Genomic DNA, 14,681 nt, shown 5'->3' with positions numbered 1-14,681 from the left:
CTTCCAGACGTCCAGACTGAAGCTATTCTCACAGCTGTGACCAAAAAGATACATTGAGTGTTTATTGCTGCAATTTATATAATAGAGAAAAGTAGAACAACCTAAATATTTCTCAGTAGAATAAACTGTGGTTTATTCACACAACATTTAAAGTAAAAGGAATAGCGCATATGAATCAAAATGGATAAATCTGGAAAACATAATGTTGGGTGAGGAAAAAAAGGAAGTTGCAATTGATATGTACAGTAGGATAATAAACAGGAAAATTTTTGAAACACAAATAACAGTAGTTTATACTGTTAAGGAACTCATACATATGAATAGAAGTACAGGCTCAGGGGAAGAAATGATACGAAGTAACTGCAGAGTTCTGGTGACCTCTGAGTAGGAACAGGCAGGGAAAGGATGAGCAGGATAACTTTGTCAGCAATGTTCTACTTCCTTTTTAAATAAACATTCTGAAGTAAATATGTACAAGTTCTGAAACAAAATGTGCAGGATTCTTGTACCCAGATGTCTTATTTGTGTGTGTGTGTGTGTGTGTGTGTGTGTGTGTGTGTGTGTGTACACAAACATATATATATTATGTTTGAAATATTTCTTAAAAGTTAAAAATGTACAGTTGAACCTCAGGGAGGCATTAAGAAAGGGAGAGAGAGGGAAGGGTGAAGAAACAGGCAAACCCTTAAAGATGATAGGTAGGCAGATTGTTTTGTTTTTGTTGTTTTGGTTTTTGTTTTAAGACAGGAGATCTCACTTTGTCACCCAGGCTGGAGTGCAGTAGTGCGATCATAGCTCACTGCAGCCTTGAACTCCCAGGCTCAAGCAATCCTCCCATCTCAACCTTGCAAATTGTTGGGATTACAAGCATTAGCCCCTGGCCTGGTAGCCAGATTCTAATAGGTCACAGAACAAGCAAGGAGAGGGGTGAAGCAGATGTTAGGAAAGCTATAGTTTCCATCAAAGGAGAACTAGGAGCTGGGAAGGTATGGGAGACTGTTCAATGGCTTCAGAAGAAAAGCTGAAGGGAGGCTGCCTGTGGAGAGATGAACCCTGATCATCTATACAACCTTCAGTTCTCTCATTTCGGCTGAGCACAATTATTTTCACCATGGTCTTTACTACCACTAAACATGCTGGACAGGATCTAAAAGCAGTCAAGTTCAACACTTCAGAACTGTTAAGTTGCAGAACATGCCACTCCTGGGAACATTATTGCTCTATACAATAGAATAACTGCAATAGAATAAGAACAGCCTCGGAGAGGTTAAGTAACTTGCTTGAGGTCACACAGGAGGGACCTCCAGCATCCCTGCTTTGATTCCAAAGCCTGTGCTCTTTATACTACATGTTTCCTCTCAGGATTCAAATAAGCCTTTTACAAGTTTCCTACTTCCCGCAACAAATCCCAAGCAGCTTAAACATGTCTGTTGATACCTTTTCGTTTTGTAGTTTCCCTCCTGTGGCCAGAATAAAGCATGATTTAGAAATAAAGCATAAGGCATCATTAATGCCGAGGTGCTGAGTCAACATTTCAGGTCATAGGGAAGTGATGATGGAGTTTCCAGGGCTTGGAGGTCATTGGTTTCAGCTGTCTTCAGAACACAACACTCTGGTAGGGACAGATGTCCTCTTGGTCCCCATTGAGGACCTCCTGCTTCCGAACTGGCAAGAAATCTCAAGCACTAAACCATCTCCATGAAAACAGCATATTTTAGAGTTGATCTGGGTTTTATGGGCTGGGAGAGCAGCTCCTGAAGGCTAAGGAAGGCAAGCAGGAGGCTCTGCCACCACCTCAGGACATCATCTCTGGGTTTTATTCAAAGGTAGAAGCTGTTCTGCTTGCACCGTTAGAGGTACATGCAGTTCAGCGACTCTCTCCTTTGCCTCTCCTTGATTTTCAGTCTTGTCTAACGAGATGGGTTCCAGTTTCCACTGGAGCTTCAGTGATTTTAATTGCACCATTAGGAAGGAAATTGGGGCTTAAATTAGAAAACTAAAAGTAAAAAATAGACATACAACAGCAGCAACAGAAAAATTCTTCTGCATCTTTTCTCTTGTCAACCAGCTCTAAAACTCAACTGAGACATAAATAATCCTACTGTTGATATGTTTTTTTTATTTTGTCTTGGTATTCAGTGTCCAAGCAGGGCAAAAAGTCAAGCACAGTGGACTGAAGAGATGAGCATGGAATCTAGCCATGTCTCTGACACAGGCAAGAAGCCACTTGAGCCTGGACCTCAGTATCTCCACTCTACAGACTTGATGATTTATTTCTCTCCTTCCCTCTTTCGTTCTATTTCTCTTTAACTTGATGATTTCCAAGGTCCCTTCAAGTTCTGATTTTTACAGTTGTGGGCACCTACTATGTGTTAAAGTTATGCAGGCAACCTCAGAGATGCTTATGAGCTAACAACCTGAGGCATACAATAAATCAGGAGCTAAAATCATGAGAGTGAAAAAGAGAGGACAATCTCTAAGGGGTGGAGGAGCAGGATGGGCAGGTGAGTAGTGGGTATTCCAGATGACAGAAATGACAGTAGCAATAATCCTAGCAACAGACTTTGTATTAGTTGTGCTGTATTGGTTGCAACTCACAAAAACCCAACTAAAACCAGCTCAAGAAAAAGAAAAAAATCTTTGCTAGAAAAATGGCTGCAAAGGCAAAGACTTGAAGACCCAGAACAGAGCCATAAAGTGGGGGCTTGGCCACCAGGACTCCTACTGCTGCTTTCTTTGTTGTGCTAAATTCAGAAAGACATTCTCCAGGTAGCATGCAAAATAGCTGCTGACAGTCCTACCTTACAGTCATAAAACTCATGACCCAAGGAAAAGAGAACTTGCTCTCCAAATTAGAAAAATCTGGAGAAAATTCTGATCATATGTGAGTCTGGGTTAGACACTCACCACTGTGGAGGTTACTGTGATTCTAATGAACAGCTGGAGCACAGCAGCAGCATGTGGAGTAAGGCAGGAGCAGTTTTCCAAACAAGCAAGGGATGATACATCAGGAAAAGGGGGGAACAGATTCTGGGCAAACAAAAAATATCTAACATTATGTGTCACATCTGTCAAACCCATTTTACAGATAAGAAAGCTGAGGCTGAGACAGGATAGGTAACCAGCCCAAGTAACCCACACGTTAGAAGTTAGCAAAGCCAGATCCTAACTCTGATCCATCTGCTGAAATGTACTATCCAGATCTGTTGCTATTCTATTTTCTGGTGTTAAGTCATGCGCATATTTTTCAGAATATGGACAACATTTTAAAGAATAAGAACAAAATTAAAATCACCATCATTAAGAAATACTCACCGTCAAAATTTTCGTGGGTTTCCTCCTAGGCTCTTTTTCTGTATCTATGGTATATATTTAGCATGTACCACTTTATTATTCATTTTCTTGACATGAATCCACAAGGCATACCCAAGGACCATGACTGCAATAAATGCCACTAGTGCCCTGCCCAGACTCCTTTTATATTTTATAGACTGGATCACCCATCCCCCAGCTGCTGTGAGTCATGGCTGCTAATGGCTCACAGCTGCTCCCTCCTGAGATGCTTGGGAGATTTTGCCTCTTTGGGGGTCCCATAGTCAATGACTGACTGCCAGAGAGTTATAAAAGTCCAGCCTGCCTCCCTCAAGGAAGGAAAACATGAGGGTCCTGTGGAATGAGGTGGGAGTTAGGTTCAGTTGAAAGCCATCTTTGTCTCTTTCCACTTCCCTGACTTGTTTCTACACCTCCTTAGAGGTTTTCTACAACTTATCACTTGCATGTGAGTTCTTGTCTCAGACTTAGCTTTGTAGATAACCCAACTTGGCAAGGACCCAATAAGTTTCCGTTGTCCTAAAGCATGGCTTCTAATCAACTGCTCATTGAAGATGGGGTGGACCATTTAACTGGTGGCCAAGCCCAGCCAACTACCAGCATTTACATCTCAACATGCTTTTGTATTTTTCTCTTCCTTTTCACCCTTGTAATAACTCTTATGAAGTGCTAAAAAGCTGTGTTTCGTGGTTTAAAAAGCCAATTACTTTATTCATTTCTTTAGTCATGTATTTATAGAATCATTAAGGCTCTGAAGAAAAACATGCATTATTCAGTTAAATTTTACTGCATTTTATGGGAGGAAAGTATATGCTGTAGTAGAAGTCTTAATTTAAGAATTCATGAAGGTTTAAACTTATTGATTATCATATTCGCTCCATCCTAACACATATAATTTCATATTTTTGAAAATCTTAGAACCAATGAATACATTGAGTGAATGTTTTTACTCCCATCCCATTCTCTAAAAACCTATTACACATTTTTTTATTCATCCACGTGAAGTCTAGAATCACTTCACTGGATCTTAAGACACCCCCTCATGAATAAAATTTAGAATAAAATTAAGTCAAACCTATAAATTAATTTTGAAGAAAAATGACATCTTTATAATATGAGTGTCCTTAACCAGTACAATGGTGTGTCAGCCCCCTGATTTATTCAAGTTTTTATTTATTTCTCCCAATTGATCACTGTCATCTTCTCCATGTATATACTGCACAATTCTTATTAAAAAGTTAGTATTTTGGCTGGGCACGGTGCTCACACCTGTAATTCCAGCACTTTGGGAGGCCAAGGCGGGCGGATCACAAGGTCAGGAGATCGAAACCAGCCTGGCCAACATAGTGAAACCCTGTCTCTACTAAAAATACAAAAATTAGCCGGGTGTGGGGGTACATGCCTGTAATCCCAGCTACTCGGGAGGCTGAGGCAGGAGAATCGCTTGAACCAGGGAGTCGGAAGTTGCAGTGAGCCAAGATTGCGCCACTGCACTCCAGTCTGGCGACAGAGCTAGACTCAGTCTCAAAAAAAAAAAAAAAAAAAAATTAGTATTTTGTACTTGCATTGCTAATGGGAATCTGAGGTCTGAGTTGTTTCCATTATCTCTTCTAACTGGTATTGTTAGCATATATAAAAGCTATTTTCAATATTCATTAAATATGTGATTATCTTGCATATCTATCTTATTATCATTTTAGTTGATCATTTGGGGCAAGCAGTACAGATAATTGTATCACTTGCAAATAAAGACAATGTCTCTTCTTTCCATTATTATAAATTTATTTCTGAACCATGTCTTATTACACTGACCAGAACATCTATAAATTTTTTAAATAGAGATAAAAGAAATTATTAGGAATGGCCCTGATATTTCACCACTAAGCATGAAATTGAGTGCTTACTACAGATACTTTTCAACATATTATAGAAAAATGTGTCTACTCTAAGTAATTGAAGAATTTTCATCAATGATGGGGTTGAGAATTATCAAATGCAACTTTAGGAGTTTATTAAATCAGATTCAGGATGACATAATGGAAAGTACTTTCACACTTTAGAGTAAGTGAGACTGTACCGGAATGTCAGCTGTAGTGCTTACTTTGGCCTTTATCAACTTGTCTGACCTCACTCAGCTATCATTTCTTTAGCTATAAGATGATGATGATAACTCATAAGGTTCTGTGATCACTAATTAATCTAGTTTTTATGAAGTGTCTAATATACGGATTATCACACATTAAATGTTCAATTACCATTTCCAAAATAAACTCTACTCTGCTATGGCATTTCATTCTTTTAATATACAAATGGATTTAATTTGTCATCATTTTACTTAGAATTGTTGCATCTATCTTTATAATTGTGTACCAAATGCAAAAACATCGTATTTTCTCTGTGTTTGGATCACCTAGAAGAAAACTATGCCTTAAAATTTGGAAGGGATACATTTAAATTATATTTTAATGACATATACATGCAGAAAATTGCATGAAAGAATGCATTCATAAATCCATCTGGACCCACAGTACTTGATAACTTATTCCAGTTTCTGCTCAATGTAAATGGCCATCATGTATTGTACACTAGTGACGGACCAGCACTGTGCTAAGCATTTCACGTGCATCATTTAATATGATTGTCACAAAACACCATGTAAGGGAAATAACTCTTCCCCCTTCTTGTAGATGAGGGAAATGAGGCTGAAAGAGGTGAGTATCCTGGCCAAGGTCACATAGTAACTGATAGAACAAGGTAAGGCTGAATCCAAAATAAATCCTACTATACACTATGAGGATTTAGTGGGTTTCCTCCTAGGCTGTTTTTCTCAATAAAGATATCTGAATTGATCTAATTCTTTGTTAATTTCTGGTAATTCATATTTGCTTCTAACAAAATTTCAAATATATAGAATTAAGTTGTTTTTGATATTTTCTTAGACTACATCATCTGCCCAGTATCTATCTGACTCCTTTTAGTTCTGTCCTAATTTTAAGTATTTATGCTAGCTTTCTCTTTTTCTCATTTATAATTGCCAGAAGTTGATTTATTATACTGTCATTTTCAAAATCCAGCTCTTGGGTTTACTTATCAATTTTATTTTTTGCTTTATAATTAATTTCTGATTTTATCTTTACTATTTCTTCCCTTCTAATGTATCTGAGTTATCTTTGAACTTCTTTAATAATTCATTCCTTTTATTCTCTAATTTAAATTGGAAATACTAAAACTTACAGAGGAAAGACTTCAAGATGGCTGATGAGAAGAATTTCACGCTTTCCTTGTCCACTTAGGGGAACAAAAATAGTGTATACACAGTCACACTTTGAATACATTATCCAAGACAGAACACTGGAATTCAAGAGAGAAGTGACAGAAAACACCAAAAGTGAGGAAGGAGAAGAAAGCAAGGCAGCCCGCTTGGCCAGGATTGGCTGGGAGCCGGGAGTAACTTCCCAATGTGGGGAAGAGTGAGTGAGAGACTTCCAGCAACACACAGCCCCACCATGCAATCATGCAATCCTGGTCACGTAAGAGAACCTCCACCCTCCCAATCTCTGAAACTGACACAAGAAGCTGCTGGGAGATGATTGGATGGAATTGCTGTGGGGCGAGGGAGCTCACACTGAGTCCCACACTCTTCTGAGACCTAAGAAACTATAGCAAGTCATCATTTTCAAACTTAGCTTCTGCACACTGTCCTGGGGCCCAGCAGCACTGGGACTGAGGCACTCAGGAAAATGGGGTTGTCACTGCTGAGACTGCAGCATGAGCTGGGAGTACTCCCACAGCCCGAGCTGAGAAGTGAGCAATGTGCAGGCTGCAGTTTGCCAGTGCCAGGAAGGAAGTACTGCTGGGACTTGAGACTGGGACACAAGTGAAGTGTGAGTTGCTGCTGGGACTTGGTCACGATCTGGGCAGGGCCTCCTGCAGCCAGGGCTAGAGTGCAAGCTAGGCACACGCTAACACTGCCAGGGATGTGGGGCGAGCCCCATCAGAACTAGGATGAAGCAGGGATATGTATTGTCCACCTGCTGGCCCAGACTGTGGCCACTGAAGCTGGCCCCATCTTCTCCAGTGGGATATCCTCAGTGCAACTGCTACTTCCTTCATTGGAACACTCCACCTGGAGCCAAAGGATTGCCATGCCCTCACTCACAGTGCCTAGTGCCCTCTCTCACCAGTGGCAAGCACAGGCCCATCCATCCTGACTATGCCATTCTCCCTCTCGACACAGAGCACACAGTCCAGGTGATTGCCCAACCTAATCCACCACCTCGGGCACCTGACCACTCCTTCCATGGGCCTGAAATTGAGACTAAACTCCCAGCCACTACCACCTTAGCTGGCACTTACCTGCAAGCATAACATGTGGGTCTGAAGACTGTTCAACCTAGCCATTTACAAGCACTGCCAACATCAATATGCACACCACTTGGGCCCCAGAAAATTGCTCCAGTACTGCTATTGTCATCGCCCATGCCACACCAGCTTCCCAGGGGCCCAGGAACCCACTCACCCATCTGATCCACTGCTGCCACTACTGATATTCAAGTAAGCCACCTGGAGGCCAAAGAATCAGCCCACCAGTAACTGCCAACACAGGTGCCAGTGTACACCATCATGGGACACAGAGGCAGACTCAGCTCACTGCTGCCATGACTGTGGCCTGAAGACTGACCCAATTGCCATCTCAGTCTCCATCACAACTTTACCACAACCTTCACTAATAACCACAATGTAACCCAATGAGGAAATCACAGATTCCACTAACACTGTCTACAGACAAAGAAATCGTGCAGAGACTACACTACTGTATGCACCCAGAATCAAAGTAATGTGTCCTACCCACTCAACACCATACATAGAGCTTCAGGAAAAAGTTCTCCCTACAAAAGTAAATCAAAAATAGAAAAAAAAAAAATGACTGTTACACCAGATGTGCAGATATCGATTGTAAGGACACAGAAAACATAAAAATGCAGGGAAATATGACACCTCCATAGGAGCACAATAATTATCCAGCAATAGATCTTAATCAAAAAGAAATTTAAAATTCCATATAGAGAATTCAAAATATTGATTTTAAAGAAGCTCAATGTGATACAAGAGAATTCTGAAAAACAATTCAAGGAAATAAGAAAAGCAATTCAAAATAAACATAAGAAATTTACCAAAGAGATAGATACTTCTTAAAATAACTAAATATAAATTCTGGAACTGAAGAATTTATTGATGCAAATACAAAATACATTTGAATGCTCCAACAATAGACTAGATCAAGCAGAAGAAAGAATGTCAGAACTCGAATATAGGTCTTTTAAGATAATCTAGTCAGACAAAAATAAAGGAAAAAAAAGAGTAAAAACAATAAGCAAAGCCTTTATGACATTTGGGACAACACGAAGTTATTAAATATTTGAATTGTCAGTATTCCCAAGGGTGAAGAGAGAAAGAAAGAATTGGAAAACCTATTTAATTAAATAATAGACAAAAACTTCCCAAGTCTAGCAAGATATTTAAACATTTAGATACAAGAGGCTCAATCTTCCAGCAATTCCCAGGAAAATACAACACAAAAGGTCTTCTCCATGGCGTATTATAGTCAAACCGTCTTAAGTCAAAGAAAAAGAATGAATCCTAAAAACAAGAGAAAAGCATTTCATCACCTATAAAGGAAACTTCAACACACTAACAGATTTCTCAGCAGAAATCGTACAGACCAGAAGATAATAAGATGATATATGCAAACTGCTAAAAGAAAAAAAAATGTCAAACAAGAATACAACATTCGGCAAAATTATCCTCCGTAAATGAAGGAGAAATAAAGTTTTTCTCAGACAACCAAATGCTGAAGGAATTCATTAGCACTAGACTGGTCCTACAAGAAATGCTCAAGAGAGTCCTAAAAATGGAAATGAAAAAACAACATTTACCATCATGAAAATACATGAAAGTATAAAATTCACTGGAAAAGTTATTACAAAATGGAGAAAGAAAAAACTCAAGTGGTACCACTACAGAAACCCATCAAACAATAAAAGAGAAAGAAAAGAACAAACAACATATAAAAGAACCAAAAAGCAATTAACAATATGACAGGAACAAAGCCTGACATATCAATAACTTTGGATGTAAACGGATTAAATTCTCCACTTAAAAGATAGAGAGGCAGTGTGTCCCGCCCCGTCCCGGCCCGGCCCCGCGCACCTGCTCCAGCCATGATGAGCTTCCGAAGCGCGGACGCGTTGCTGGGCGCCCTGTTCCTGCCGTTGCACGGCGGTGGCAGCCTCCACTACGCTCTGGCCCCAAAGAGCGGCACAGGCGGGACGCGCTCGGCCGCTGGCTCCTCCAGCGGCTTCCACTCGTGGACGTGGACGTCCGTGAGCTCCGTGTCCGCCTCGCCCAGCCGCCGCCTCGAGCACCGACTCGCTGGACACGCTGAGCAACCAGCCAGAGGGATGCGTGGTGGCGGCTGCTACAACGAGCAGTGAGGAGGAGCAGCTGCAGGCGCCGACGGACCGCTTTGCGGGCTACATCGACAAGGAGCGGCAGCTGGAGGTGCACAACCGCAGCCTGGAGGGCGAGGCAGCGGCCCTGCAGCAGCAGCAGGCGGGCCGCGAGGTCCGTGAGACGCGCGGTGCGATGCTGCGCCTGGGCAGCTGCGCCTGGAACAGGAGCACCTGCTCGAGGACATCGCGCACGTGTGCCAGCGCCTCGACAACGAGCTCTGGCAGCGCGAGGAGGCCGAGGCGGCAGCCCGCGCACTCACGCGCTGCACGCAGGAGGCCGAGGCGGCGCGCGTGGAACTGCAGAAGCAGGTGCAAGCGCTGCAGGAGGAGTGCGGCTACCTGTCGCGCCACTACCAGGAGGAGCAGGTGGTCGAGCTGCTCGGCCAGACCCAGGGCTGCGGCGCCGCGCAGGTGCAGGCTGAGTTGCGCAACGCTCTCAAGGGCGAAGTGACATCGGCGCTGAGCGAGATCGGCGCGGCGTGCAGCTTGAAGGCCATGCGGTGCAGAGCACGCTGCAGTCCGAGGAGTGGTTCTGAGTAAGGCTGGACTGACGTTAGAGGCAGCGAAGGTGAACATAGATGCCATGTGCTCAGCGTAGGAGGAGATAACTGAGTACCGGCGTCAGCTGCAGGCCAGGACCACAGAGCTGGAGGCACTGAAAAGCACCAAGGGCTCACTGGAGAGGCAGCGCTCTGAGCTGGAGGACCGTCATCAGGCCAACATTGCCTCCTACGAGGAAGTCATTCAGCAACTGGATGCCGAGCTGAGGACCACCAAGTGGGAGATGATAGCCCAGCTGCGAGAATACTGGGACCTGCTTAATGTCGAGATGGCTTTGGATATAGAGATAGCCGCTTACAGAAAACTCCTGGAAGGCGAAGAGTGTCGGACTAGCTTCGGCCCAATTCCTTTCTCGCTTCCAGAAGGACTCCCCAAAATTCCCTCCGTGTCCACTCACATAAAGGTCAAAAGTGAAGAGAAGATCAAAGTGGTAGAGAAGTCAGAGAAACTGTGATTGTGGGGGAACAGATGGAGGAGACCCAAGTGACTGAAGAAGTGACTGAAGAAGAGGAGAAAGAGGCCAGAGAGGAGGAGGGCAAGGAGGAAGAAGAGGGTGAAGAGGAGGGGGCAGAAGGGGGAGAAGAAGCAAAGTCTCCCCCAACAGAAGAGGCCACATCCCCAGAAAAGGAAGCCAAGTCCCCAGTGAATGAAGAGGCAAAGTCACCAGCTGAGGCCAAGTCCCCAGAGAAAGAGGAAGCAAAATCCCCAGCCGAGGTCAAGTTCCCCGAGAAGGCCAAGTCCCCAGCAAAGGAAAAGGCAAAATCACCAGCTGAGGCCAAGTCTCCAGAGAAGGCCAAGTCCCCAGTGAAGGAAGAAGCAAAGTCACCAGCTGAGGCCAAGTCCCCAGTGAAGGAAGAAGCAAAGTCTCCAGCTGAGGTCAAGTCCCCTGAAAAGGCCTGAAAAGGCCAAGTCCCCAACAAAGGAGGAAGCGAAGTCCTCTGAGAAGGAAGAGGCAAAATCTTCAGCTGAAGTCAAGTTTGGGCTCGAAAAGCCCAAAGAATCCAAAGTTGAAGCCAAGAAGGAAGAGACTAAAGATAAGAAAAAAGCAGCCACCCCAGAGAAGGAGGCTCCTGCCAATGTGGAGGTGAAGGAAGACGCTAAACCCAAAGAGATGACAGGTGGCCAAGAAGGAACCAGATGATGCCAAAGCCAAGGGACCTACCAAACCAGCAGAGAAGGAGGAGGCAGCAGCAGCACCAGAGAAAAAAGACACCAAGGAGGAGAAGGCCACCGAGGCCAAGAAGCCTGAGGAGAAACCCAAGACAGAGGCCAAAACCAAGGAGGATGACAAGACCCTCTCAAGGGACCCAAGCAAACATAAAGCAGAAAAGGCTGAAAAATCCTCCAGCACAGACCAAAAAGACAGCAGGCCTCCAGAGAAAGCCACAGAAGACAAGGCTGCCAAGGGGAAGTAAGGCACGGAGAAAGGAATGTCTGGAGCAGCCAAAGAAACTCAGAAGGGGCCCAGAGCTCAAGGATCGGAGTAATGCAATTTTCACTTTTTCTCTCTTAATGTAAGAAGAAACTGCTTAGATGATGGGGCCTTCTTCTTCAAACAGGAATTTCTGTTAGCAATATGTTAGCAAGAGAGGGCACTCCCAGCCCCCTGCCCCCACACCCTCCCCAAGCGATGGACAATTGTTATGAAAGCTTATGTAGCTGAATGTGGTACATGCTGAATGCCACACGTAAACTCTTGACTATAAAAAACTGCCTCCCTCCTTTCCAAATAAGTGCATTTATTTCCTCCATGTGCAACTGACAGATGACCACAATAATGAATGAGCAGTTACAAACACATTATGCTTGACATGTCTTAAACTATTTCTACATGCCTTCTGTTTTCCAAAGGAGTGGTCAAGCCCTTGCCCAGAGCTCTCTATTCTAGAAGAGCTGCCCAGGTGGGGCTGGGCACTGGCCACTGAATTATGCCAGTGCGCACTTTCCACTGGAGTCCACTTTCAACTTCTTCTGTGCAATAAAACCAAGTGTTTATAAAATGAAAAAAAGAGAGAATAGCTGAATAGAGTCTTTTAAAAATGTGATCGAACTATTTGCTTCTTACAAGAAACTCAAATTATTAGTAAAGACACAGAGACTGGAAGTAAAAAGATGGAAAAAGATATTCCATGCAGATGGAAACCAAAAATGAGCAGGAATAGTTGTACTTCTATCACATAAAACAGACTTCAACTCAAAAACAGTAAAAAAAAAAAAACAAAAAAACAAAACAAAAAAAAACAAAACACACACACACACACACACACACACACACACAAAGAACATTATTACATAAAGATAAAAAGATCAACCCAGCAAGAGGATCTAACAATTCTAAATATATATGCACTCAATACTAGAGCATCCAGATTCATAAAGCAAATATTACTAGGTCCAAAGAGAGAGATAGATGCAATGCAGTAGTGGTGGGGAACTTCAACATTCCACTCTCAGCATTGAGCAGGTCACCTAGACATAAAATCAACAAAGAACATTGGATTTAAACTGGACTTTAGGCCAAATGGGCCTAACATTTACAGATCGTTCTATACAACCACAGAATATGCATTTTTTCATCAGCACATAGAATATTCTCCAGGATAGACCATATGTTAAGCTACAAAGCAAGTCTCAACAAATTTTAAAAATCAAAATTATATTAAGTATCTTCTTAGACCACAATAGAATAAAACAAATAAATCAATACCAGGAGGAACTCTGGAAACTATACAAATTCATTTAAAAAATGCTCCTGAATGACTATTACATCAACAAAGAAATTAAGATGAAAATAAAAAAATTTCTTGAAACAAATTAAAATGGGAATACAACAACCAAAACCTGTGGGATATAGCAAAAGCAGTGCTAAGAGGGAAGTTTATATCAATAAATGCCTACATCAAAATGTGGAAATATTATAAATTAACAGTCTAACAATGTACCTAAAGAAACTAAAAAAGGAAAAAACAACAAAACCCCAAATTAGCAGAAAAATAGTAAAGATTAGAATGAACTAAATGAAATAGAGACTAAAAAAATACAAAAGTCAATAAAAGAAAAAAGTCAATTCTTTGAAAAGATAAACAAAGTCAATAAACCACTAGCCAGACTAAACAAGAAAAGGGAAGACTTAAATCAACAAAATCAGAAATGAAAAAGGAGACATTACAACTGATGCTACAGAAAAACAAAAGATGATTATGAACAACTATATGCTAACAAACTGAAAAACCTAGAGGAAATGGATAAATTCCTGGAAACACACAACCAACCAAGATTGAATCAGGAAGAAATAGAAAACTTAAATTGGCCAAAAATGAGTAGTGAGTTTGAATCAGTAATAAAAACTCTCCCAACAGAGAAAAGCCCAGGACCAGATGCATTCACAGCTGAATTCTACAAAACTTACAAAGATAAGCTAATACCAATCCTTCTGAAATTACTCCCAAAAATCTAAGAGGAGAGAATTCTCCCTAATTCATTCTACAAGGCCAGCATTACCCTCATAGTAAAACCAGATAAGGACACACATGTAAAAGAGAAAAACTACAGGCCAGTATCCCTAATGCACAGAGATGCAAAAATCCTCAACAGAACATTAGCCAATCAAATCCAACAGCATTCAAAAACGTAATTATAATAACCAAAACAGCATGGTATTGGTATAAAGCTGGACACATAAACCAATGGGACAGCATAGAAAATCCAGAAATAAAGCCACATGTTAACAGCCAACTGATGTTTGGAATTTTTCATTGACACTTTATAAAATTAAACTAATTTTAATTTTATTTCATTCTTATCAGAGATTTTATCCAGAATCATTTCCAATATCTTGATCATCAATTTTCTTTATAAACTAGTATAGATTGTGATAAATGTTCCATGTTTTATTGCATAAAAACAATGAAAATTTTCTTGCCATTTTCAGAACACAAAATTTAATCCAAATCTATTAAATCAAAGTCAATATTACTAATCATACATTTATTTTAAACCAAAGGCTACATGATGGTTTTTTGGTTTTTTGTTTTGTTTTGTTTTGGGTTTGTTTAGGGTTTTTTTGGTTGGTTGGTTGGTTGTTTGCCACAACATCTGAAGGCTGCAATGTATGCCCATCAGTAGTAATTCTGGGTCAGTGGAAATGGGATTACTTGCCCCCTCCCGCTGAATATCAGAATATGTGTGTATGTGAGTTTTTATAAAATGACTTCTTAGACTCTGATATGATCTTTGGGGCATCTTTTACCAACTTAGTTGAGAATCACTGAGATAAAT

General features: G+C 41.5%; 1 long non-coding RNA gene and 1 pseudogene across 2 annotated transcripts in view, besides 1 other annotated feature; one reads left to right on the top strand and one right to left on the bottom strand.

Moving 5' to 3' along the window:
* LOC101927182 (uncharacterized) overlaps window positions 1–14,681 on the bottom strand; it is a 204,657-nt gene that overhangs the window by 99,556 nt on the left and 90,420 nt on the right. The gene's annotated exons all lie outside the window — the stretch shown is intronic.
* NEFHP2 (NEFH pseudogene 2) lies at window positions 9,502–12,014 on the top strand (annotated as a pseudogene).
* Window positions 9,829–10,330: an enhancer, noted in NCBI's record as "H3K4me1 hESC enhancer chr20:40627259-40627760 (GRCh37/hg19 assembly coordinates)". NCBI's record gives its function as "activates a minimal SCP1, AML or CMV promoter by ChIP-STARR-seq in primed H9 embryonic stem cells {active_cell/tissue: H9 hESC(primed)}" and the evidence as "EXISTENCE:reporter gene assay evidence [ECO:0000049][PMID:30033119]".

The sequence above is a fragment of the Homo sapiens genome, chromosome 20, assembly GCF_000001405.40.
Source record: "Homo sapiens chromosome 20, GRCh38.p14 Primary Assembly".
Lineage (NCBI taxonomy): Eukaryota > Metazoa > Chordata > Mammalia > Primates > Hominidae > Homo > Homo sapiens.
Note: the sequence above shows the minus strand (reverse complement) of the source record. Positions and strands in the feature narration are given on the sequence as shown.